The sequence below is a fragment of the Homo sapiens genome, chromosome 20 (assembly GCF_000001405.40).
Source record: "Homo sapiens chromosome 20, GRCh38.p14 Primary Assembly".
NCBI lineage: Eukaryota > Metazoa > Chordata > Mammalia > Primates > Hominidae > Homo > Homo sapiens.
The window spans coordinates 1405038-1432699 of record NC_000020.11 but is presented as its reverse complement, the minus strand read 5'-3'; the positions used below and the strand labels follow the sequence as shown (position 1 = coordinate 1432699).

Below are 27662 nucleotides of genomic sequence, written 5' to 3'. Positions count from 1 at the left end.
GCAGAAGCTTCCCCACTGAGCAGGAACAAGACAAGAATGCCCATTTTTACCACTACTATTAAATATTGTACTGGAAGTCCTAGCCAGAGCAGTTAGGCAAGAAAAAGCAATAAACAGCCTCCAAACTGGAAAGGAAGCAGTAAAGTTATCTCTATTTGAAGATGAAATAATTCTATGTATAGAAAATATAACAATACCAAAATGCACACAACTACTAGAGCCAATAAACAAATTCAACATAGTTGCAGATTGCAAGATCAGTGCACGAAAGTCCATTTTCTATGCATCAGCAATGAACAGTCTGAAAATGAAATTAAGTAACAATTCCATTTATAACAGCATCCAAAAGAGTAAAATACTTAAACCAAGGAGAAAGACTTCTATGCTGAAAACTACAAAACATTGCTGAAAGAAATTAAAGAAGACCTAAATAAATGGAAGACAACACATGTTGATGTATTGGAATATTAATTGCAAATGATCCACAGATTCAATGCAACCCCTATCAAAATTCCAATGGCATTTCCTAAGGAAATAGAAAAACTAATCCTCAAATTTATGTGGAACTGGAATGAACCCCAAGTAGTCAAAATACTATTGAAAAAGAAACACACCAAAAAAGAAAGAAAAAGAAACACAAAGTTTCAGGGCTCATGCTTCCAGATTTCCAAACATGCTCCAAACTTCTATAATCAAACCAGTGTGGTACTGACATAAGGACAGACATATACACCAGTGGAATATAATTGACAGCCTAGAAATAAATATCTATGGCTAATTGATTTTCAATAAGTGTTCAGCACAACTCAATGGGGAAAGAATAGTCTCTTCAACAAACAGTGCCGGGGCAACTGCATAATCACAGGCAAAAGAATGAAGCTGGACCCGTACCTCACTCCATACACAAAAATTAACTCAAAATGGATCAATGACCCAAATACAAGAGGAAAACATAGGGGTAAACTATTTAGAGAAAAACATAGGAGTAAATATTTATAACCTCAGACTTGGCAATGGATTCTTAGATTTGACACCAAAAGCATGAGCAACAAAAGGAAGAAATGGATAAATTAGACTTCATAAAAAGTAAAACCATTTGCACAATAAAATATATTATCTAGAAAGTAGAAACACAGCCCACAAAATGAGAGAAAGTATTTGCAAATAATGGACTTGTATCCAGAATATATAAAGAACACTTAAAACTCAACCACAAAAAAAAAAAAAAAAATTAAGAAATAGGCAAAGAACCTGAATAGACATATCTCCAGAGAAGACATACAAATGGCCAATAAGCACATGAAAGCATGTTCAGCATCATTTGTTACTAAAGAAATGCAAATGAAAACCACAGTGGGATACCACTTAACACCTGCAAGAGATAAACCACTTCACACCCGCTAGGATAACTATAATCAAAAACATGGAAAATAGCAAATGTTGATAAGGATATGGAGAAATAGAAACTTGTACACTGGGATCACACAATAGAGAACACTGTAGTAACATTTTGGTCTGCTCACAAGACCCAGAACATTTACCAGTTTTTGTTGTTGGTTTATTATTTTTCTGTTAAAAAAAATTGTGAAAAGTTTGTTTTAGCTGGATGATATTTTAATAGTTGCCAGTGCTTTGGAACTATGTAGATGTCACTACTTAACACATATACCTTATGTTTTGTTTTATTTTGTTTTACACTCAGTATAAATCAGGAACATTTAGCCAACCACCTAGCATTTAGAATCCTCTTTTTTATTGGCTTCTAAGGATATGGATGTTCCCATAACAGCAACAAAAACATTTTATAAATATCACTTGATAGACTTTAAGCACCTGCTTAACTCTGAATGTGTCCCAAATATTTAGTGTAGATAGATAGATAGATATTCAACAAATAAAGCAAAATATAACATGCATTTCACATTTTGTCTTTCCCTGTTACAATTTTAATAGCAGAACTGTATGACAAATTTAGGTGATCCTAGCATATGTTAAATTCAAATTAATGTAAAACAGATCAACAACAACAAAGAAACTCTATTTGAGCGAAGTCATGCTTTCTATTATAATAACTTGGCTTCGGTTATCCATCAAATGCACACTTACACTGTTGTCTGATTGTTTATAATAAAGAATACTGAACCTATAAAAGAAAAAAGAAACCCTTGTCACTGTTGGAAGTTGCTGTGGAAAACAATTTGGTGGCTCCTCAAAAAGCTAAACATAGAATTACATATGACCCAGAAATTCCACTCTTAGGAATTATATTAGTCAGAGTTCTCCAGAGAAACAGAACCAATGCAATACATATAGAGAAGATTTATTATGGGAATTGTTTCATGCAATTACAGAGGCCAAGAAGTCCCATGACATACTATTTACAAGCTGAAGAACCAGGAAAGATGGTGATGTAATTCAGTTGAAGTCTGAGAGCCTGAGAATCAGGGAAGCCAGTGGTGTAACTCCCACTCCAAGGCCTAAGGTCTGAGAATCTGGGGGTGGGAGGCTATTGATATAAGCCTTAGAGTCCAAAAGCCTGAGAACCAAGAGCTCCATTGTCTGAGAGCAGGAGAAGGTGATCCAGCTGAAAAAGAGAGAGAATTTGCACTTCCTCCACATTTTTGTTCTATTTTAATGGGCCTTCAACACCGAAGTTCATCCATGATGTCTGCCCACACTGGGGAGGATGATCTTCTTTACTCCATCCACTGATTCAAATACTAATCTAGAAAACACCCTCACAGACACACTCTGAAATAACGTTTTACCATAGATCTGGGTATCCCATAATCCAGTCAAATTAATGCATAAAGTTAAACATCCCAGATATATATTCAAAAGAATTGAAAACAGGTACTCAGATACTTGTACATCCATGTTTAATAGCAGCATTATTCAAAATACCCCAAAGGTGGAAACAACCCAAATGTCCAGCAATAAACAAGTGAATAAACAAATCGTGTACACATAAAATGGATTATTCAGAAACAAAAAAGTAATGAAGTATTGATAAATGCTATAATGGATAAACTTCCATGTTGTAAGGAATTTGGCCTCACTCAAAGAAATGTCTAGAATTTCCAACATGACAGGAGTGTCCTCTTTATTCCTGTTGAGTCACTGGGACCACACCTGATAGTTTATGTTGATGAGATTATTCATAACGCCACTCACACCTGATAGTCTTAGGGTGGAGGGGCTGGCCACACCAGAAAAACCAAACATAGAATTTACTGTGAGAGCTTTCAACCCAACCTCCAGGGTTGGGGTGGAGTGGGCTGAAGATTGAGTTTAATCAATCATGCCCATGTAGTGAAGCCTCATTAAAAACTCTAGATACCAAAGTTCAGGTGAGCTTCCCTGGTTGGCAATACTCTGTGCATGTTATCACACATCATGGTCACGAGGAAGTAACTGTCCATGACCCTGGGGAGAGGACACCGGACACTCCCCATTTAGACCCCTCCCAACTCCATCCTATGCATCTCTTCCTCTGGCTGGTTCTAATTTGTATATTTTTGTTGTAATAAACATAGACGTACATATAATAGGTTTCAGCGAGTCTTTCTGGTGAATTATACAACCTGAGGGTGGTTTTAGGAACCCCTTGAACTTGAAATTTGTGTCAGAGTCTTGGGAGTCAAATTTGGTGGTCTGGAAGACCCTACCTTAGCACAATGTTTTTGAGGTTACCTGCAGTTTGGCTAACTCTAGGTAACCTCAAAACCATTATGCTAAGTGAAAACTCAGACACAAGAGTCACATACTATGACAGCTACATGTTATATAAAATATCCAGAATAGGTAAATCCATAGAGAGAGAAAGCTGATTGATGGTTGCTGGGTGCTGTGTGGAAGGGACAATGGGAAGTACTGCTTAATGGATACTAGGCTTTATTTTGGGTTGACGAAAATATTTAGAACTAGATAGAGGTACTGGTTACACAACATTGAACATACTAAACGCCCTGTTAAAATGATTAATTTTATGTTACTTGATTTTTTTGTGTGTGTGTGACGGAGTCTCACTCTGTCACCCAGGCTAGAGTGCAGTGGTGCGATCTTGGCTCACTGCAACCTCCACCCTCCAAGTTCAAGCGATTCTCCTGCCTCAGCCTCCCAAGTAGCTGGGATTACAGGCACCTGCCACTGCGCCCGGCTAATTTTTTGTATTTTTAGTAGAGACGGGGTTTCACTATCTTGGCCAGGCTGGTCTTGAACTCCTGACCTCATGATCCACCCGCCTCGGCCTCCCAAAGTGCTGGGATAACAGGCGTGAGCCACCGCGCCCGGCCTGTTACTTGAATTTTATCTCAAGAAAAAGAGAATATCTACCCTTACTCATTTGAGTATTTTTGTAGTAATTTCTTCAAAAGGTATCAGATAACCCCAACATCTGTGTCATCTAGGAGTGGGCATCTGTTGATGTCTTCTCCCAGGAGAGTTGACATTTTCCTGGATCTTCACAAGCTGAGTAGTTTGGGATTGTAACCTGAACGTTTTCTGTATTATATTTTGAGGCTCTGGGTCTTATTTAAGTTCTATGGGAAACATTTATATCTTGTGTTTTGGCTGGCAGTCAACCTGGTCAGGTTCAGGCCTCAAGTCCCAACCTTCTGTGTGTGGTGGTTCCAATGTCAGCTCAGTCTGCAAAGCCTTTGCTGACTGTCTGGTACCCTGTGTGCACTACCCAGCAGGGAGTCTGGGACCTGAGCATGTGGCCTGTTAGCACATTTCTCAGAGCCTTTATATGGTGATTACAATCAGATCCACACATGTGCAATTGGAGAGTGCCTCAAGGAGTTCGTAAACAATGTAATGGGGTTGCTTTCACAAGCTCCTCCCTTTTTACAATCTCCCTGGTACTTTCCTGTTTCCTGGGGCTCCCTTTTCACGCTCCCAGCCAGAAAGCTAAAGCTGCAGCATCCCGCTGTGCTGCACTCTTCATGGCAGGGCCAGGTGGTGGGAGCACAAAGAAGAAAAAGCAACAGGGGTTTGCTCCCTTCCTTTTGGGATCACAACTCTGCTGATGCATGAAGAACATTCTCCTCCCTCTGAGTTTCAGCTCCTGCAGGTTCCCAATGCTTTGAGGCCTCTGTCATTCCTGCCAGGGACTCCCTGGTGGCTGGGGCATAGGAGAGCAGGAAGAAGAAAGAAACTCAGGGCAGGAGAGTGGCATTAGAAATTCCTGGTCCTTAAGCCAGCACTAGAGGGCTTCTACTGGAGTTTTCCTGTGTGGTCCCAGTCCCCACTTCCAGGCTACATTTTGTTCTAGCCAGGAAACAAGAAGGGGGCAAAAAGGTAAACTCAGGATGGTACTTTGATTTCTGATCTTCTTCAAGTTACCTTCTACCATTTACTTTTCAGAGTCCTCACATAGCTGGCCTGTGCATCCTGTCCAGGTTTTATAGCTGCCTTCAGCAGGAGAGGTGGGGTGGAACATGCTTATTACTCCATCTTGCCCAGAACTAGATCTGACCCCATCATAGTTTGCCTTAACATTTCCCTGATTATGAAGGATGTTGAGTATCTTTTCGTGCAGTCAGAAGCCATTGCATCCTCTTTTCTGTGAACCTCTATTTATATCCTCTGTTCACTTATGTATAGGAAACTAATGTCTCAGAATCAGGGAGACATACACTTTGAGATATGAATCACAATTTTTTTTCCTATTCTGTTTTTTGTCTTTTGACTTGCTTCTGGTACATTTTTATCATTGCAGAAATTTATTTTTATGAATAGATGAATTGAAGCTCTTTGAGGGGAAAAAGTGACAGGAAGACTTTCAATTACCAGAGTCACTGGGACCTGCCCTAGATTCCATCTCAGTGCCTGTGAAGATTCCAGTTCACCCATCAGGGTGTGTGGACACTGGGATGTCAAAATAAAGCTGCATTATCATTGCTCCCACCAGTCCCACTGATTCAGTCAAATGTCACGTGCACTAGACTGGGCACTGGTGCCTCTTCCTCTCCTGAGTTTTGCCAGTGCTCCCCCAGCCTCTTTCCTGAGTGTAACATGTGGCAGAGCTGAGTGGAGCTGGTCCCCTCCTGATACTCATCTCCGCTTATCTCCCTCAGGCAATGGGGAGTTTGCCACCTGTCCTTCCATCACTGCTGCTCTGCCTGTTAGAAAATCCTTTCTCCTCTGGATGCTGAATTGTCCTCCTACCTCTGGCCTCCAGAAATCTCTCTGGGGATTTCCAGGGGGCCCTTCATCTATGGAGGCTTCTAGAGGAGCCAGGTCTTGTTGACTGAGTCCCTGGAGGTGGAGGGTCTCCCTCAGCTGAGACCGACTGCAGACAGGCCCCTGGAGCTTGACAGGCACCCAGTGCCAACCTCATTCAGCAGCCCATGGAAAGACCTTGGCGGCCTTTGTTTTCTTGCTGACTTGCTATTAGACTCAGGCAAGTCTCTCCTTCCTGGGCTGCAGGATCTGCACATAGAAAACCTTTCCTGTTGTGGCTCTTCCACTAATTAACTGTGGGACCTTGGGCAAGTGACTTAACATCTCAAAGCCTCATTTTCCTCATTTGTAGCTTATTTACTCATTCATCAAACATGTATTAAGCACCTGCTAGGTGCAGGGTACGGAAGTTATAGCAGGGAATAAGAGACATGATTTCTGCTCTTACAGTTTATATCTTAGTGGGATAGATAGTAAATGAACACAGTTGACCCTTAAACAACACGTGTTTGAACTATGTGATTCCACTTATAGGCAAATTTATTTCAACCAAATGTAAATAAAAAATAAAGTATCTGAGTCAGGCACTGTGGCTCATGTCTGTAATCCCAGCTACTTGGATGGATGAGGTGGGAGGATCGCTTGAATCCAGGAGTTCAAGGCTGCAGTGAGCTGTGATCATGCCACTGCACTCTAGCCTGGGCAACAAAGCAAGACCCTCTCTCTTAAAAAAAAAAAAAAGAGGAAAGAAAGAAATATAGTATCCGTGGACTCCAATAAACACTAAAGGACTTGAGTACATGTGAATTTGTGTATATACAAGAGGTCCTGGAAATAATCCTCTGTGTATAACTAAGGACAGCTGTAAATAAATACACAGCAAGGTAATTTCAGATGCCAATAGTTCTCTGAAGACAATGAAATAGAAATGGGACAGTTACTAGCAGCAAATTTTGGGGCTATGTTAGGGTAGCCAGGGATCGCAACCCTGAGGAGTTGACATTTGAGCTGAGACCTGCAACATGAAAAACCAACCAAGCAGAGATTTGGGGAGAAAGTGTGCTTGGCAGAAAGAACAGCAAGTGCAGAGGCCCTGGGGTGGAAAAGAACTTGCTATGTGTGAGGAATGGGAGAAATTCAAAGTGACTGACATGGAGGGAACAACAGGGAACTGAAGGAGGTGGTTGGCAAACATGGGCCAAACATAAGCCAATGCTGAGCAGGCCTGGCCAGGGGGTGGTGTGGCCCTCCAGCATGGGAGCCTGCTGCTCTGAACACCCCATGATCTGGGACCAACATTTTAAAATCAGAAAATTTCACACATAAAAACCCATCTAGATCTTTGGCATCTTTAAAACAAACAAATCAGCATGAAAATGTGCTTATTAGTAGTACTAAATTCCTTTTCTTTTTTTTTAGACAGAGTCTTGCTCTGTTGCCCAGGCTGGAGTGCAGTGGCAAGATCTCAGCTCACTGCAACCTCCGCCTCCCAGGTTCCAGTGATTCTTGTGCCTCAGCTTCCCAAGTAGCTGGGACTACAGGCGCACACCACCACGCCAGACTGATTCATTAGTAATCTTTAAATGCAAAGGAAAACCACATGGAGACACCACTTTGCGCTCATTAGGATAGCTATGATAAAAAAGATAGACAACAAGTGTTGGTGAAAATGTAGAGAAATTAGGACCCTCCTGCACTGAAAGTGGGAATGTAAAATGGTGCAGCCCTTTTGGAAAACAGTTTGGCAGTTCCTCAAAAAGTTATGATAACAGAGTTACCATAGGATCCAGCAATTCTACTCCTAGGTATATGACCAAGGAATTGAAAACAAGTGTTCAGACAAAAACGTACACAGGCTGTTCACAGCAGCACTGTTCCCAATAGCCAAAAGGTAGAAACAATCCAAATGTGCATCAGTTGATAAATGGATAAGCAAAATGTGGTGTAACCACACAATGGAATGTTATTTGGCCATAAAAAGAAATGAAGTAGTGATACATGCTACAACTTGTTGCCACACACTAGAGGGAGAGAGGATTGGGGAGTAACTACTAATGGGTACAGGGTTTCTTTTTGGGATGATTAAAATATGCTAGAATTAGTAGTGATAATGGTTGCACAGTTCTGTAAATATACTAAAACTGCTTAATTGCATGTTCTAAAACAGTGAATTTGTGGTATGATTCTGTTTTCCCAGCTTTCTTGAGGTATGATTGACAAAATTGTGTAAATTTATGGTGTGCAACATGCTGATTTGATATACATATACATTGTGAAATGAGTGCCACAATCGTGTTAGTTAACACATCTGTCACCTCACCCACTTACATTTGTGTGTGTGTGTGTGCTAAAAACATTTAAGATCTTTACCAGACCCAAAAGTTTTTAATTACATGCAAATTAAGAGGTTTGTTATTCAGAATGCTCTAGAAAAGAACAAATGCCGAGTTGTTGCCATGGAAAGGGGTGGTAACTTGCAGCTCGTTGCCATGGCATTTGTAAACTGTCACGGCACTGGTGGGAGTGTCTTATGCTAATGAGCAGCAAGGGTAAATAGAGGTTGCCTTTGGCACCATCTGCTGGCTTCTTTACTTCATCCTGGGACCAGGAAGTAAGTCCGCTGGTCTCCTAAGTCGCCTCCGCAGGCATAGGTATGGAAGCTGTCAGCATGCTAGTAGGAGCCCACATCTAGGGAAAGCTGGGGAGCCACTTCCACAGCAGCATAAACTAGGGCTCCGTGGAGTTCAATGGCTCATGGGACAATGGCTCCCTTGATGGCAACAGCAACTTCCTGCTCACCAACTCTCTGGAGAACACAGTAAAGAGGGGCCTGCTGGCTTCTGCTTCCCTGTCTGTGAAAAGGGGACAGGAAAGCCTGCAGCATGGACACACAGATCAAATGGGAGTGTGTGTGTGTAAGGCGGCCTACCTGGGCCTGGCCCATGTGGGCCCTTGAAACATAGTAATAACAGCTAATGTCTGTAGACTCCTCCATGGCTCCCCATCACCCTCAGGAAACGTCAGATCCCTCAGCATGGTCTGAAAGACCTGGACAAGCTGGCCCCCGGCCCTTCTCCCTCACCTCCCACCCTTCTCCCTTACACCAGCCTCTTTTCTGTTTCTCAGACATGCCTTGCATGCTCCCACCACAGGGCCTTTGCACATGCTTTTCCTCTGCCTGGAAGACACTTCTCCCAGTTCTTTACATGACACATTCCCCCCGACCCCACTCCCCCCCACCACACGCTCTAATCAGGTCTCCAATCTTACGCCCTCTCTGGAAGATGACCCCCAGACCCCATCCCCTTTGACTACCTTCATTCTTCCTCATAACAATTTTCACCACCAACCATGCTCATTCATCCATTTGGCACATGGTTTCTGAGCATCTACTGTATACCAGGTGCTATGCTGTGCCAGAGGCTATAGCAGGGAAAAGACAGACACATCTTCCACCCTCACAGAGCTGACGTCCTGCAGGGGAAACAGATATTACCCATGAGTGAGTGAGGCCCATAGCACATGCAGGCATCGGGCAGGATGTGCTGCAGGGAAGGGCAGAGCAAGTTGAGATTTTAGGTGGTGAGGTCAGAGGAAGCCTCACTGATAAGGTGATATTTGAGCAGAGACCTAAAGGAGGTGATGGAGCAAGCCATGTGGGAACCTGGGGAAAACATTTCAAGCTGAGGGAACAGCAGAGGGAAGGCTTAGGCAGGAACAGCCTACAAGCACGAGGAGAGAAGGGACTTTGCTTGGCTCACAGCTGAACCCACAGCACCTAGCAGTGCCTGACACATAGTAGGTGCTCAATAAATGCTTACTGGGTAGTAGAGCACTTTCTATCCCCCCGGCACAGTGCTAAGTGCATATCACTCCATTGATTTCTAGCAGTCGCCAATCAGAGTTGAACTGGCTTATATGCTGGCCTCCATTTCTGAACTGTGTGGCTTGGGCAGTTCTTTAACCTTTCTGAGCCTCAGTCCTCTCATCTGTAAAATGAGGCTAATATCATAGAGCCCACCTTAGAGAGCTGTTGCAAGGAGTAAATGAGCTAATATTATAATGGTGACTGTTTAATAATTGTTAGCAAGTATTATTATGGTAGTTGTTATTGTTATTAGGCAATGTAGGGAAGCAGAAGAAGTCACTATTTCCGCTTTCAAGGAAGGAGATGGCAGATGAATTAGGAAGTCAGGAGTGACACACAGGAGATTACCCTGTGGCACCAAAGATTCCCAGAGAAGGCAGAGACAAATGAGAACACAGAAATCATTTGAGAGAGAGAGAGACAGCAGCCCTTGGGCCAAGACTCAAAGAGTGGGTAGGATTTACAGAGGAGGGAGATGGCGATAGAAGGCCCTCCAGGCTGGTGTCACTGCACAAACACGTATGGAGGTGGAGTGGAGTACATCAGCCTAACGCACTTCTTGTTCCCCAGTGGAGGGCATATGTGATGGCTGCCATGGTCCTGGGCACACTGTACTGCATCTCCTGCTTGGTGCTGGCTCTGGGGGTGAAGGAACAGTTAGGTAAGAGGGGGGTCATGGGGCCAAGAGAGGCAGGGGTGGTCTCATGCTCTGGGGAGTCCCTACCTGCACTGGGGAGCCCAGGCTGTGGGAGCATCCGGAGAGCGGGGAGGATGGTAGTTCTCACCCTTGTGGTCTCGGGGCTTCTTTGTATGCTTAAACATTCTTGAAGATCTGAAAGAGCTTTTTAAGTGGGTTTGTATCTATTAATATTTATGTTAGTAAAATGGAGAAAAGTTAAAAATATTAATTTTAAAATTGTGAATGCATTACATGTTAACATAAATATAATCTGTTTTCAAAACTGACCATATTTCCAAACAAAAGGCATTTCGTAAGAAGAGTACATTGTTTTACATTTTTGTGAATCCCTGCATTGTCTGGCTTTAAAAAAAGACAGCTGGATTTTCATACTACTTCTGCATACACATCTGCATACACCGTGTTGCACTATCCCATGCACATAGCTCCTGGAAAGCTGCACCATACACTGGTGAGAGAATGAGAGTGTAAAAGGTACACACATCTTAGCATTATTAGGAAAAGAGTTTTGACCTCACAGACCCCTGATAGCATCTCAATGACACTCAGAGTTCTCAGAGCTCCCGAAAACACAGTTTGAGGACTACTGTCCTGGGTGGTCTCATCCTAACCCATAGTTTTAAACATCTCTATATAATTTCAGCTGCATTAACAGAAAGGCCCAAAATTAACAGTAGATAAGACTTTATTTCTCTCAGGGAGAAAAAAAGTCAACCTATGAAGCATCTCTTCCATGAAACTGTTGGGAGCTCAGGCTCTGTCTGGCTTGTTGCTCAGCCATTCCTAAGGTGTTGCCCTCCTGCCACAGTCTGAGATGGCTCTGGCTCATCCCTGCATGCCAGCTATTCTAGGGAGAAAAGAGGACAAAGTGGGTATTTCTCTGCTCTTTACAGGAAGGACCCTGATGTTACTCATTTCACACTTGTTCACATTCCAGTGACCAGTATCTACTCATATGGCACACCTAGCTGCAAGAGAGTCTGGGAAATGGTATCCATAATCAGAGGTCCTCTGTGCCTAAATATAAATCAGGGGTTCTCAGAATAGAAAACCCAGAGATAAAGCCACACCCTATAAACCATCTGATCTTTGACAAGGCGAAAACAAGCAATGGGGAAAGGACTCACTATTCAATAAATTGTACTGGGATGGATAACTGGCTAGCTATATGCAGAAGAATAAAACTGGACCATTACCTTTCACCATATACAATAATTAACTCAAGATGGATTAAAGGTTTAAATGTAAGACTTCAAACTATAATAATCCTGGAAGAAAACCTAGGAAGTACCCTTCTTGACATTGGCCTTCACAAAAAAGTTTTGGCTGAGTCCCCAAAAGCAATTGCAACAAAAACAAAAATTGAAAAATGGGACCTAATTAAACCACAGAGCTCCTGCACAGCAAAGGAAATTCTCAACAGAATGAACAGATAATCTACAGAATGGGAGAAAATACTCATAAACTCTGCATCCAACAAAGGTCTAATACCCAGAATCCATAAGGATCTCAAACAAATAAATGAGAGAAAAACAATAACCCCATTAAAAAATGGACAAAGAACATGAGCAGACACTTCTCAAAAGAAGATAATACAAGTGGCCAACAAACACTTGAAAAAAATATTCATCATCACCAATCATCAGAGAAATGCAAACCAAAACCACAGTGAGATACCGTCTCACACCAGTCAGAATTGCTATTATTAAAAGTCAGAAACAACAGATGCCGGCGAGGCTGCAAAGAAAAGAGAACCCTTATAAAGAGTTGCTTTATACGTTGACTTTTTTTTCTCCCTGAGAGAAATAAAGTCTTATCTACTGTTAATTTTGGGCCTTTCTGTTACATTTGTGGAAATGTAAATTAGTTCAGCCACTGTGGAAAGCAGTTTGGAGATTTCTCAAAGAACTACAAACGGAGCTACCATTTAACCCAGCAATCCCATTACTGGGTATATACCTGAAGGAAAATAAATCATTCTATCAAAAGGACACATGCACTCATATCTTTATTTCCACACTATTCACAGTAACAAAGACATGGAATCAACCTAGGTGCCATCAGTAGTGGATTATATAAAGAAAACTTGATACATATACACCATGGAATACTATGCAGCCATAAAATAGGATGAAATCGTGTCCTTTGCAGCAATATGCATGCATCTGGAGGCCATAATCCTAAGCAAATTAATGCAAGAACAGAAAACCAGATACCACATGTTCTCACTTATAAGTGGGAGTTAAACATTGGGAACAACACACACAGACATAAACATGGGAACAACACACATGAACATAAACATGGCAACAACAGACACTCCAGTAGACACAGCGGACTACTGGTGGAGAGAAATAAGGAAGGGGCGTGGGTGAAAAAACTATATGCTTACTACCCAGATGATGGGAACCATACCCCAAACCTCAGCATCATGCCATATACCCATGTAACAAATCTGTACATGTAGCCCCTGTATCTAAAATAAAAGTTAACCGTTTAAAAAAATAATAAAAATAAGTAAATCAGGAGTTCTCTTTCTATGAGAGAGGAGGCAAGAACAGTGGCTTCTTTGGTTGAATTACACTCAAACCCACAAGGCCCTATGAGGTCTTCCTAGTTTTCTCTCTACACTCTAGTCAGCTTCCCATCCCTGTTCTTGTCCAGCCTCCCTGGTTTTCCTTCTGTTCCTCTAGTGAACAGTCTTTCCTCAAGCTTCTGGTTCATGTTGTTTCTGCCTCCTAGAACAGCCTTCTCCCAGACACCTTCCCAGCTGCTCCTTTCCACTCTCAACTCTCAGCGTGACCACCTGATCTCAAGTAGCCCCCTCCTACCTCATTATTCTTTCTTAGCAGTTTTTTTCTTCACATCACATTATTTTATAATCAGTATGTATTTGCTTGTTAATTTGTTTTTTGTCTTGTTTTGTTTCTAACATAAACAGAAATGGGAACTTCTCTTTTGCTCCCCACAAAACAACCAGAGCGTGGAACATATGAAGTAAAGAATAATATTTATTGAATGAAGACATGAATTGTGAGTAGTGTTATTAACTCCTTTGCCAAGAGTCCACAACTCTCTAGTGGTAGAAGAGACCTGGGAGAAAAAATGCAGATCCATGAGGGCTTTGTAGCAGGAATCTTTTAATTGCAAATGATGGAAACACAACTCAAACTGCCTTAACCAAAGGGAGAGTATATTGGTTCACAAAACTGGAAATTCCATAGCTGTTCCGGCATGGTTGGGTGCCTGAGTAACAGGATGTAGGGCTGATGGTGGAGGATGTGCTGCAGGCTAGGAAAGAGGGCAGCCAGGATGACCCATTGTCAGACGTCCAGACAGTGTCCTCAGGGATCTGTCCTTGCCTCAGGCTCTCAACCCTGCTAGCATTATCTTGACCTCTTTGCCAGATGACTTACCCCTATGGTGGCAAGATGATCATCAGCAGCTACTGTATTACATCCTTTCCAGCTTCCTCTGCTTTCACAGAGGTTCCAGCAACAATCCCAGAGCTGCCTCTCATTGCTCAAATGGAGTCATATGACGCTGCCTAAACCAATCACTGTAGCCAGGGAGATGAAGTTTACTGATGGGCTGAGCCTTGAAGCTGGGGATGGGGAGTGGACTTAGGGGCAGTTGGGAGGGGACTCCCTAAAGGAAAATCTGGGTGCTGTTCCTTCAAGATGAGAGCATGAGACTGAGATGACAGGTGCGTGGCAGACCCCAACCTGACATAACTAAGACAGCCCTCCCCTCCCTGGCTCCTCAGCTCCCTGGCAGCATCCTCACTACTCTCTTTCCCAGCCTCCAGCACATCCTCCACCATCACCCCTAGACTCAGTGGCTTCTTGTTCATCTCCTTGGCTTTCCAAGTGGAAGGGGGTAGCATAAGTGCAGCCTGAGGCAGCAAAAAGAGCACTGGGTGGGGATTCCAAAGCCTGCCCCAATTCTGGGTCAGCCAAGCATCCCTGTGTGACTTTGGGCTAGTTTCTGCCCCTCTCTGGGCCCCAGGGACCAATTGGCAAAGACCTGATGACCTCTTCCTTGAGGCCAATCTTGCAGTCTCAAGAGGGTCTCCAGAAGGGCAGGGGCAACTTCTAAGGGCATCTTCCCCTTCTGGGATGGGAAAACTGAGGCTGGCCTCACAATCTCTTCAGCCACTTTCACACCAGGAAGGCAGGAAACACGTATAACCCTGTGATTTGCAGCCCTGTGCAAGCTGGGGACAGGGTTTCAAATCCATACTCTCTCCAGGTTCAGTTATCTCCACCCTGCAAAGGGACTGGCAAAGCCCCATCTGTGCACAGGCCATCACTAGCACACCACACTGTGCCTGTCATTCCCTGCCTTTTCTCACCCAGATGACTCAAAGGATCTTTGTCTTTTTCTGTAGTAACCCTGCAGGCCTAGGTGGGAGCTTCCAGTGCCTCTTGTCATCATTCTGGTATGTCCAGGAAGTGGGAGGTGGCACCAATGTGTAGCCACCCTGCCTGAGCCCACCAGCCTTGGAGTCAGAACACCCTGGGGTAAATCCTGGCTCAGCTCTTCTCAGCTATGTGATCTCGGTAAGTGGCTTTGCTTCTCAGGGCTTCAGGCTCCTCCTCTAATTCCCACCGCACAGCGCTGTGGTGAGCCTGAGCAAGATGAGCATGTCAGTGTCTGGCGCAGAACGGGCATGCAAGAAGCATTGGTTTTCTTAGCTCCCAGGGTCATCTGGAAAAACCAGTTGGTTTCTTACCACCAAGAGGCAGTGCTTTTTTGTAGTAAGAAACCAATTTCAAAGGCCAGAGAGTTGGGTTCAAATCCTGACTCCCCACTTACCAGCAGTGATTCTACAGATGTTATTTCACCTCTTGGAGCTCAGTTTACCCATCTGTAGAATAAGGATGATAAACTTATCACAAGGGGCTATGGTGAGGAATAAGTGGGGTCTCGAGAGTACCTGTCATGCAGTTGGTGCCCAGAATTGCTGTTCCCTTCACAAAGGCCCCTGGTCAACTGGGCAAGCCACATGCCTGCATTTGTCTCTCAGGAGGGATATTAATCATTTATTCAACAAACATGTCCTGAGCTCCTACTAGGTGCCAGGCACTATTCAGCAGTGAGCAAGACATAAATTGCTCTGCCCTCATGGGGTTCACATTCCGGTGTAATTACAGGCAAAAAATAATAAATGAAAGTACGATGTGCATTGGAAGGGAGGAGGCACAGAGTACCATGGGAAAGGTCATAACAGAGGCCTTCACCTGGCCCCAGCAGTCAGGGAAACCTCCTGGAGGAGGTGATGTTTTAACTGAAGTGGGAAGGATGAGTTGGAGGTACCCAGGTGAAAATGGGAAGAAGGAGGCATGTCTGGGCAGAGAAGACAGCATCAACAAAGGCCTTGAGAGAAGACCATGAGGAGAGTTAGAAGAACTATTAAAAGCCAACAGGCTGAATAAAGAAAGTTGTGGAGAGATGGGGGCTAGATCCAGGGCTGGGAGGTCAGGAGAGGCCAGACGCTACAGGATCTCCTGAACATGGTGCAGAATCTGGACTTAGTCCTGAGGCAACAGGGAGCCCCTCTACTTGGAGGAATCACACTCTGAGCCCCTACTGTGTGCCTAGCCAGTGAGGAGACAACTACCACCCACTTTTGCAAAAGGCTGTGATTAGGCAGGAAATATGGGTCTTAGAACCCTGCTGAGAAGGTCAGGCTGGCTTCCCGGAAGAAGTGCTGTCTGACCAGGGACTTAAAGCGTGAGCATGAGTCACCCAGACTGAGGTCTTCCAGGCTGAGGGAACAGCATCTGCACAGGCTTCGTGTCAAGAGGGAATGCAATGAGTCAGGGGAGCTGCAGGACAGGACTGAGCATGAGTCAGAGAGGCCAGATCAAAGTATCTCCTATGCCAGGGAAAAGAATGCTGGCTTTTGAGGGCAGTGGGGGACCATAGAAGGCTCTACAGGGAGGTGCATGGTCAGGGTGAATTTGTAGAAGATCATCTCAGCTACACGATGGCAAATGGATTAGATGTGGCAGAGTGAAGCCGGGAAACCGTGAGGAGACTGGGTCAGAGACACGGGGATACTCTCAATTCCTTGGCAAGTCCTGGTGGCTCCAGCTTCAACACTGATTGGAATCTAACCCTTCCCCCCACCTCCATTGCCCTGTCTCATGCAAATATTTCCATTCAATATATTTCTAGAAGCAGATTTACTGGATCAGAAAGTAGGCAGATGTATTTTGCTTCTTTTTTTAATTAAAATATTTATTGAAATAATTACAGACTCCAAGAAATAATACAGACACATCCCATATATGCCCTTTACCTAGTTTCCCCCAATGATAACGTTTTGCAAAACTGTAGTATAATATCATGACCAGGATATTTTCATTGATAGAATCCACCCATCTTATTCAGATTTTCCCACTTTTACGTGTACTCGTGTGTGTGTGGTGTGTATTTAGTTCTATGCAAATTTTATCACAGGCATAGGTGTGTGTATTCACCACTGTAATCACGATAGATACCTTCATCATCACAAAGATATCAAAGACTTTATCCTTTCATAAGCATCCCGTTTTCTTCCTTCAGCCACTCCCTACCCATCCTTAAGCGCTGACAACCACTAACTAATCTGATCTCCATTTTAAAATTTTTATTATTGCAAAAATAAATATTTGTGGAGTAAATATTAATGGAATCCTACAGTATGTAACCTTTTGCAGTTGGCTTTTGTTCACGCAGCATAATTCCTTGCAGATTCATCCAAGTTGTTGCACATACCAACAGTTCATTGCTTTTTATTGCTAAGGAGTGTTTAATGACATATATATACTGCAGCTTGCTGAACTATTCACCCACTGAAAGACTTCTGGGTTGTTTCTAGTTATTAGTTCCTATGAATAAAGCTACCGTGAACATAGGTGTACAGATTTTCGAGTGAACATGTTTTCAATTCTCTGAAATGCTCAAGAGTGCAGTTGCTAGATCATATCGTAGTTGCATGTTTAGTTTTATAAGAAACTACCAAGCTGTATTGATTATTGTAGCTATAAAGTAAACCTTAATATTGAGTAGATTGATTCCTTCCACTTTATTCCTCTTTGTTGAGGTTATTTTAGCTATTCTAGAGACTATACCTGTCCTTATAAATTGGAAAATAAACTTATCTATATCTACAAAAAATCTTGCTGGGATTTTGATATGAACATTGAACCTACAGATAAATTTGGGGAAAACTGATATCTTTACTATGTTGAGACTTCCAATCTGTAAACACAGTATGTATTTTCATTTACTTATTTATATCTTTTATTTCTTTTATCTGGTATTTTATAATTTTCAGCATACATATGCTATGCATGTTTTGCTAAATATTTCATTTTCTTTGGAGAGATTATAAGTGGTATTGTGGTTTAAAGTTTTGTTCCATAGATTCACTGCTAGTGTATAGAAATGTCACTGATGTTTGTGTGTTTATCTAGTGTCTTATGACCTTGTAAACTCACTTTTTAGTTGGAGTTTGTTTGTTGCATTTTAAATTCCTCTAGATTTTCTACATAGTCAAACAGGTTACCTATAAATAGTACAGTTTTCTGTCTTCCTTTGTGACGTGGGGCATTTTATTTCTTTTTCTTCCCTTGTTGCAGGGGCTAGACCTTCCAGTATCGTGTAGAATAACAGCGGTGAGGCAGAACATCCTTGTTTCCGTCTTAGGAGGAAAGCGCCATTAGGAAAGCATCATAAGAGGAAAGCAGTCTTTCACCATTACGTATATTAGCTGTGGATTTTTTTGTTTTGTATAATTGTTTTACATGTTCTTTATCAAGTTGAAATAATTTTGCACTATTTATGACTTGCTGGGAGACTTAATGAGTTTTGGATTTTGTCAAATGCTTTCTTTTTGCATCAATTCATATGATTATATGCTTTTCTTTCCTTGGCTTGTTGATATGGTGGATTGATTGATTTTTGAATGTTGAACTACCATAGCTGTAATAAATCTAACTTGATAATGGTGAATAATTATTTTTATGCATTGTTGGATTTGGCTTGCTTATATTTTGTCAAGGATTTTTGCATCAGAATTAATAAGAGATACTGGTCTGTAATTTTCTTTCTTTTTATTTCGTCTCATAATATTGGCCTCATGAAATGAATTGAGAAGTGTTTCCTCTGCTTCTATTTTTTGGAGGAGATTGTGTAAAATTGGTGTTGTGTTTTTCAAATGTTTGGTAGAATTATCCAGCTTGGAGCATTTTAATTATGAATTCAGTTATTTTAATGAATTTTTTTTTTTTTTGAGACAGAGTCTCGCTTTGTCACCCAGGCTGGAGTGTAATGGCACGATCTTGGCTCCCAACCTCCACCTCCCAGGTTCAAGTGATTCTCCTACCTCAGCCTCCTGAGTAGTGGGATTACAGGCATCTGCCACCATGCCCAGCTAATTTTTGAATTTTTAGTAGAGACAGGGTTTCACCAGGTTGGCCAGGCTGGTCTCAAACTCCTGACCTCAGGTGATCCACCAGCCTCAGCCTCCCAAAGTGCTGGGATTACAGGCATGAACCACCGTGCCTGGCCATTTTAATGATTTTAGGACTGACCAAACTATCTGTTTCATCCTGGTTGGGTTTTGGAAGTTTTTTTTTATTTTTTAGGAATTGTTTCATTTCTTCTAAGTTATCAAATTTATGAGCATCAATGTATTTACAGTATTTCCTTATTATCTTTTTAAAGGCTACAAGATCTATATTGGCATTCCCTGTTTCTTTGTGGTACTAGTGATTTGTATCTTCTTTTTGTTTTCCATCTTGCTAGAGGCTTATCAATTTTATTTATTTTTTAATAAATCAGCTTTTTTGCAGTTTTTCTAGTTTTTCTGTTTTTGATTTTATTTATATCTGCCCTGAATTTTACTGTTTCTTTCCTTATGCTAGTTTTGAATTTATGTTGCTCTTGTTTTTCTAGTTTCTAGAGGTACTAACTTAAATTGCTAATTTGAGACCTTTCATCTTTTCTAGTTAAGCATTTAGTGCTATAAATTTTCCTCTCAGCATTACTTTTGCTGCATCCCACATATTTTGATATCTTGTATTTTTACTTTTATTTGGTTTTATGTAGTTTTTAAATTTCCCTTTAAACTTCTTCTTTGAGCCATAGATTATTTAGAAGTATGTTGTTTACTTTCCACATGTTTAGAGATTTTCTGCCTTTATGCTATTGATTTGTAGGCTTATTCCATTTTTGTCAGAGAACATACTCTATAATTATAATTCTTTTAAATTTGCTGAGGTTTCTTTCATGGTCCAGGATATGTCTATGTTGGTATATACTTCTTGGGTTCTTGAAACTAATTATATTCTGTGTTGTTGGTTGGAGTATTTTATACATGCCTATTAGATACCGTTGTTTAATGGTGTTGTTCAGATCCTCTAAATCCTCACTGATTTTCTACCTAGTAGTTCAATTGATTGTTGAGATTGGGTTGTTTATGCCCCTGACTGTAATTGTGGACTTGTCTATTTCTCCTTTCAGTTTTATTAGCTTTGGCTTTACATATTTAAGTCTCTGTTGCTTGGTGCCTGCACATTTAATATTGTTTTGTCTTCCTAGTGGATTGATCCTTTTATTCTTATGTAATATCCCTCTTTGACTCTAGTAAATTTCATGGTTCTGAAGTCCACTGTATCTGATATTCATTTAGCCACTTCTATTTTTTAAACTAAAATTTGCATAATATATCTTATTATATCGCTTACTTTCAGCCACCTAAATTGTTGAATTTGAAATGAGTTTATCATAAACAACATATATACCCTGCCAATCTGTCTTTTGATTGTTATATTTAATAATTTAAGATTGTCAAGATGACAGGTGTTGAGATGGTCAGTTAGGACAATAAGCCAAATGAAATTAATAGTCAAGACTTTGTTCACTTACTAGGATAGTGAAGTCCAGAGACAAAGAAAAAAAAATGTGTTGGCTTTCCAGTGTTCCATTTTCCCACATAGGACAGCATCAGGTGAAGGTCAGGAGGATCAGTGAAGACAGGAAGATTATCTCACTAACAAGGAGCCCTGAACAAGAAGCTACTGCCATTTTAGAATTTGTTTTTCCATTTCTGCTAAAAATGCCATTCGGATTTTGATAAAGATTTTATTGAATGTTTAGATCAGTTTGAAGAGTGTTGTCATTTAAAAAATATTAGGTCTTCTAATCCATGAACATAGTATATGTCTACATTTATTTATACATTTTCATGTTTTCCAGCAATGTTTTGTAGTTTTCAGTGTACAAGTCTTGCATTTCTTTTGTTAAATTTATATCTAATTATTTTATTATTTTCAATAGTATTATAAAGAGATTTGGTTTTTAATTTCATGTTCAGATTATTCATTGCTGGTATATAGGTATACAAATATTTTTGTATATTTATATTGTATCTTACAACTTTGCTGAGCTTGTTTATTAGCTCTAATAGTTTTTTGTGTATTCCTTAGTATCGTCTATATGCAAGATCATGTCATATGCATATAGAAATGGTTTTACCTCTCCCTTTTAAATCTGGATGCCTTTTAGCTTCTTTTATTACCTTATTGCATTGGCCAGAGCCTCCAGTACAATGCTGAATAGAAATAGTAATAATGGGCATTCTTGTCTAGTTCCTGATGTTAGGAACAAAGCATTCAATCTTTTTTATTTACTTATTTATTTATTTATTTATTTTTGACACAGGTTCTCACTCTGTCACCCAGGCTGGAGTGCAATGGTGCAATATTGGCTCACTGCAGTCTCTGCCTCCTGGACTTAAATGACCCTCCCACCTCAGCCTCCCAAGTAGCTGGGACTGCAGGTACACACCACCACACCTGGCTAATTTTTATATGTTTTTTAGAGATGTGGTTTCACCATGTTTCCCAGGCTAGTCTCAAACTCCTGAGATCAAGCAGTCCACCTGCCTCAGCCTCCCAAAGTGCTGGGATTACAGGCGAGAGCCACCATACCTGGCCTCAATCATTAATCATTAAATATTATATTAGCTGTTGGTTTTTTAATAGATGTTCTTTATCAGGCTGAGGAAATTCTTTTTTATTCCTAGTTTGTTGAACATTTTTATTATGAAAGGGTGTTAGATTTTGTCAAATGCTTTTTCTGTGTCTGTTGAGATGATCGTTTGGTTTTTCCTTATTCTATTGATGTTATGTATTTTATGGATTGATTTTTGGATATTAAATCATCCTTGCATTTCTGGTCATGGTGTATAGTCTTTTTTTGTGTTGCTGGATTCAGTTTGCTATTTTGTTGAGAATCTTTGCATCTTTATTCATAAGGGATATTTGTCTGCAGTTTTCTTTTCTTGTGATGTCTTTGTTCCATATATCTCTTTGTTAAGGAGGAAAATCTTTCCCCAAAGTCCTCTGACAGACGTTCCCACAGTTCTCATTGGCTAGACACCTAATAGGATGGCTATAATAAAAGAGAAACAATAACAAGTGTTGGGGAGGATGTGGAGAAATTGGAACCCTCATTCATCACTAGTGGGAATGTAAAATGGTAGAGCCACTTTGGAAATACCTAAAAAATTAAACATAAAAATTACCATATACAACAATGTCAATGTGTCCCATTGGCTACATGGCCAATCCTTGCTGCAAGGGACACTGGAGAACAAATTACTAATATTTCACCATCTGTCTTGGAAGATAGGCTCTTCCAAGAAGGGAAACAATGGAAAGGAATGGCTACTGGATGAAATGTCTGTTCCAGAGACCACATAGGTATTGGAAAGACTGTTCTGATTATGGTAAGGAGGGTTAGCCAGCATAAGAAAGGCTGGAAATAGGAAAACCAAGTAGGAAGCCACTGCAAACAACCAGGAGTGAGATGTTAAGGCTGAGGCCCAGACAGAAAGTACCTTCAGGCAAGAGCAGAGGCATTTCTCCTGCTGCCACTGAAGATAGCTTTGCCACACTCACTTCTCTTTCTCCTCCAATCTAATACCCCTTGTACTATGGTGTAGGGATGGCCTGGGAGTCAGGAGGTCCAGGTTCTATCTCAGCCTTCTCTGTGGTTGTAATAGTTAGGGCAAAGGCTAGCCCCGAAATGAAATGGCTTATACAAGACAGAGCATTATCTTCCTCTCACATAACAGTCCAGGGAAGTAGGCAGGCTTGTTCCATGAAGTCATCCAGAGTCCCAGGTTGGGAGGAGGGTGGCCCTGCAATCCTCTAGCACATTGTTGTGATCCCCAACTTAGGATGTTGTGTCAAAGTTCCAGCTAGAAGGAGGAGGAAGTAGTGGAAGACACTGGTCCAGTGTCTTCAGCTTGAGTCCCAGGACACTTCCGCTCCAGTTCCATTGTCAAAACCTAGTCACATGGCCATACCTGACATGGCTGGAGAATGTAAGCAAGCTGGGCATGTCATCTAGAATGCAATCAAGATGAAAGTTTCAGGGGAACTGACCACATGCTCGGCCTCATGGATTTGGTGGAAAACCAGCAATTTGCTTGGGAAAGTCCCTTCCCTGTGGTATGACCTGCTCTAAAGCCTTGGACTCAGATACCTCATGGGAATTCAGCAAAGTCTGTGCCCTACCCAACTTCACCATCAGGTACCAAGAACTCACAATGAACAGACATCTTGTCTATACCAACAGCATGGCAGGACATTCGGAATGTGGGATTCAGAGAAACAGAAGGCATGGCTGTGCTGTTAAAGACTCTTCTAGTCAAAGAGAACATGCTGAGACCAAGGCATGTAGATGAACTGTGTCATGTGCATATTCAACCTTCAAGGATTCAACTCATATACAAAGCAGAGCAATATCAAGGAGGCAGGGGTTAGTACTGAGCTTGCAGTAAAAAACGTACTCAGCAACAGAAAGTGAGTGGAATGATGGTTGCCAGGAGCTAAGGGAAGGGCACAGGGAGTCATTGTTTAAAAGGTACAGAGTTTCAACTGGGGAAGGGGAAAAGTTCTGGAGATGGATGGTGATGATGGTTGCACAACAATGTTGAATGTACTTTATGCCACTGAACCTACACTTAAAAATGGTTAAAATGGGACCAGGTGTAGTAGCTCACTGCTGTAATCCCAGCACTTCAGGAGGCTGAGGCGAAAGGATAGCTTGAGCCTGAAAATTTGAGACCAGCCCAGGCAACATAGTGAGACGATATCTCTACAAAAAAATTAAAAAATTCACCAGGCATGGTGGTGTGCGCCTGTAGTCCCAGCTACTTGGGAGGCTGAGGTGGGAGGATTACCTGAGCGTGGGAGGTTGAGGCTGCAGTAAGCTGTGATTGCACCACTGCACTCCAACCTGGCAACAGAGCAAGACCCTGTTATACACACACACACACACACACACACACACACACACACGAGTCTTCATACAAAAATGAAGACTCAAAGAAGTGGCAAAATCTAAGTTCTTGCCTTTTCACTCTGAAGGGCTCATATTTGTAGGGGAACTCCTCCATGCTGGTGCCCTGACAACCTTGCACATTTTTACCTAGGCTACAGGGCAAGGCTTAACCACTGCTGACCTAAGTCTTGGAGGGATACCCCATGGTCACCCAGATCATGAGAAGTCAGGTGAGCTTGCCAGGAGCTGCCACAAGGCCATCTCTCACCCACCTCTCTATCTACAGGAAGACTGTCATGGCCATTTCTCATCTGCCTTGCTGGTTCTGATGAAGCGGGCCTGTCCACTTCCCCTCCTCCCCTCAGGGTACAGCTGCAGGCTGTAAAGCTGCTTTGCTGCAGCATATAATTGGCTCCTCAGCATCAGGGACCCATCACCTCTGTTGCATGTCACTTGGCCCCTTCTGTTCCAGTGTCATCCTGTGATCAAGGGCCATGGGGAGCAATACCATTGTTGTCTGTGTAAGTAATAAGTCATCTTAATCTATATGGGCTCGATGTGTTCCTACCAGCTAAATCGATGACAGAGTGGCAAGCTAACCTGGCAGCTTCTGATACTACTTAGAATCTGTTAGCCTATCTGACAATATCACTTTCACATCAACATGATTGTCCCATCTGGGGGTCATCTGTAGCACACCCCTCATCCTAAGTTGTCCCTGCCCATCACCCCTCCTCAGTATCCAGCCACTATGGGCCCACTAGGTCAACACTTGGTTACTCAGAAGCCTGAACCAAGGGGCATTTTTCAGGCTCCACATGTAGCAAAATAAATCTTCATAATTAAAAAAAAAGTACACAATGTTCACAAGCCAAATAATGGTCCTATGTGGGTTCCCATGCCCACTCCATCTCTATTAGTGCAGAACATTGGGGGTAGCATTTGTTTCCTCCTGCATGGCTCCACAGTACAGAGCAAACAGCAGAGCTACTGGGGCCAGACAGACTTGGGCACATTTCTGGGCGTATGTGTTTTAGTTTCCGGAGGCTGTTGTACAAAATTACTACAGATAAGGTGGCTTAAAACAAAAGAAATGGATTCTTCCACAATTTACTCTTTCACAATTCTGAAGGCCAGAAGTCTGAAATCAGTATCACTGGGGCAAAACCAAGGCGTTGCCAGGGCTATGCTCCCTCTGGGGGTCCTAGGGGACAGTCTGTTCTTGGCTCTTCCAGCTTCTAGTGGCTGCTATCATTCCTTGGCTTATGGTCACAGCACTTCAATCTTCAAGGTCGGCAGCTTCAAATCTCTCATCTCTGTAGTCACAGTACCTTCTTTTCTGTGTGTGTGGGGTCAAATCTTCCTCTACTTTCCTCTTATATACATGCAACTGCATTTAAGGCCCACCCTGCTAATCCATGACAGCCTTCCCATCTCAAGATCCTTGACTTAATCACATCTGCAGAGGCCCCGTTTCCATGCAAGGTAAGAGATTAGAACCTGGTACCTTTGAGAGGCCATTTTTCAAGCTACCACATGTAGCCATAGGCAAGTTATTCTATGTCACTAAGCCTCAGCTTTCCCTTCCGTAAAAGAGGGGTAATAATAGTGATGTTGGGATAAGGATTACATAAGCCACTCTAGGCAAAACACATATCACTGCATTTCTTATGGTTGAGTTAGCTTCCTGTTGCCTTGCTACAAGGTGAAGAGCCACTTTCCTGATCTCCTGGAGCCATTAAGACCCGTCTTGGCCCTTGGTACACACTGCTTGGTGAATCCTCCTAAAGCCATGGGTCATTATTTGTAGCCACTATGATCTACTGATCACAATTCCCAATCCAAATATCTGAGTACATACTTGGGAGTCTAAGAACTATTTTTGGGCTCCAAAGCATCTGAGAGATATAGTTTAGCTTAGACCAACACAGAATAAGAATTTCCTAGACATTTAGAGAGCTGAGGAGAAGAGCTGGTGTGTTTTTTGTTATTTTGAAGATTAATTTTGCTACATCTCATAGCCTGAAAAATGCTCCTTGCTGTCAGAGTGGCCCAGGAAATTCCAGCATGTATAAGCCCTGTAGCTACTGACATAGAACATGAGAGAAGAGTCAAGGGAATGAAGGATTCTGATCCCTTCCACTTTCCCCGGCAAAGCCAGATCATGAAATGCCTTGTAAGGCACCTGAATTTTTTCTGAGTGCAATAGAAAAGCCCTGTAGGGAGGCACAGCAGACATTTTTAAAGGATCTCTAAGAAAATCTCTTCTGGAACTGTAATACCTCCCCTTTGGGAGCTAAGAGTAAGGACTGAACTTCCTGAGGACTCCCAGGACATACCAAAATGGTTCTTTCCCACTAAAGAAAAGTTTCATCCTACCCCTTGTCTCAATCTTGGGCCACAAAGATTCCAGGTGTCCTCATTTCAGGAGGCAAGGGCTTCCATTTCACCATTTTTCAAAGTGGGATTCCCAGACTAACAGCATCAGCATCATTTCAGAACTTGTTAGAAATGGAAATTCTCAAGTTGCACCTTAGACCTACAGAATGAGGAACTGGGGTTGAAGCACAGCAATCTGGGCTCTACCAAGTTCTGCAGGTGATTCTGATGAAGGCTTAAGTGTAAGAACCTCCTGCAGTCATTACACACACACCCAAAGCAACTGATTACCCAGCAAGTACAGCCTTTGGAGATCAAGTGATCTGCGAGTTTGTGGATCATATTACTCAAGAATCTTTTAGTTGCAAGTGGCAGAAAATTCAATTTAGACGAGCAAAAAGAATTTATTGGCCCATAAAGTGGAAAGCTTAAGGGTCATCTAGATTCTGACACTGCTGGCTCTACTATAATCAGGGTTCTCTTTTAATTAGTAACTACACCCAGAAGAATTGGGGATTAACTTTTTGCTATGAACTGAACTATGTTGCCCCTAAATTCATATGCTAAAACCCTAACCTCCAAGGTACTGGTATTTGGAGATAGGGCCTTTGGGAGTGCATGATAAATGCACCTAATAGCAATAAATTAAGTATACCCTGAGAATGACTCTGTATGGCAGACGCACCTTAATGTGGGTTCCAAGCTAGGAAATCTGGGAGTAGCCAACTTGGAGATTCCTTCCTTGTGTATGAGGAACATCTGAGTCTATGAGGAACCTATGGCCCATCCTGTGGAATGCGGGCCATACAGGGGATCGAGACCTTTTGTTTTAGGTCAGGTGAAGTTGCTAGGTGGAGACTGTTGGGGGAGGGTGCTAAGTGAAAATGCTATATAAACTGCATGTCTTTTACAAGCAGTTGTGGTTCTTCTGCCCAGGCCACCACCACTGAGCCATGTGGTTATCCCATCCAGCCTGCCACCACTGGACTGTATGTACCGCAGTTCTCCTATCCAGCCCACCACCACTGGACTCTCTCTCCTGTATGTAAGCCCCAAATAAAACCTCATGTCTCATTTGCTGGCTCTAGGTCTCTTCTTTGGCCTCTTGAACCTGATGCCATCCCCATTGGAGTCAGTAAGGGTTTGGCACAACAGGGAGGTAATGAGGTTTAGAAATCATGA

General features: G+C 42.1%; 1 long non-coding RNA gene across 5 annotated transcripts, besides 2 other annotated features; it reads left to right on the top strand.

Moving 5' to 3' along the window:
* Positions 4476–5235: an enhancer, noted in NCBI's record as "NANOG-H3K27ac hESC enhancer chr20:1408109-1408868 (GRCh37/hg19 assembly coordinates)". NCBI's record gives its function as "activates a minimal SCP1, AML or CMV promoter by ChIP-STARR-seq in naive H9 embryonic stem cells {active_cell/tissue: H9 hESC(naive)}" and the evidence as "EXISTENCE:reporter gene assay evidence [ECO:0000049][PMID:30033119]".
* Positions 7735–27554, top strand: LOC105372497 (uncharacterized). Of its 5 annotated transcripts, none has more exons than XR_007067490.1 (7): positions 7735–8797; positions 10625–10715; positions 13696–13787; positions 15145–15316; positions 18386–21588; positions 24253–24331; positions 27417–27554. It is a non-coding gene; the product is annotated as an uncharacterized LOC105372497 (long non-coding RNA). The 5 variants fall into 5 exon arrangements; XR_007067488.1 differs by having other exon boundaries at positions 7735–8837; XR_937193.3 differs by lacking the exon at positions 10625–10715.
* Positions 15568–16767: an enhancer, noted in NCBI's record as "P300/CBP strongly-dependent group 1 enhancer chr20:1396577-1397776 (GRCh37/hg19 assembly coordinates)". NCBI's record gives its function as "activates an origin of replication core promoter dependent on BRD2, BRD4, P300/CBP, MED14 and CDK7 cofactors, with strong dependence on P300/CBP, by STARR-seq in HCT116 cells {active_cell/tissue: HCT116}" and the evidence as "EXISTENCE:reporter gene assay evidence [ECO:0000049][PMID:35650434]".
* Positions 27555–27662: the final 108 nt, after the last annotated feature.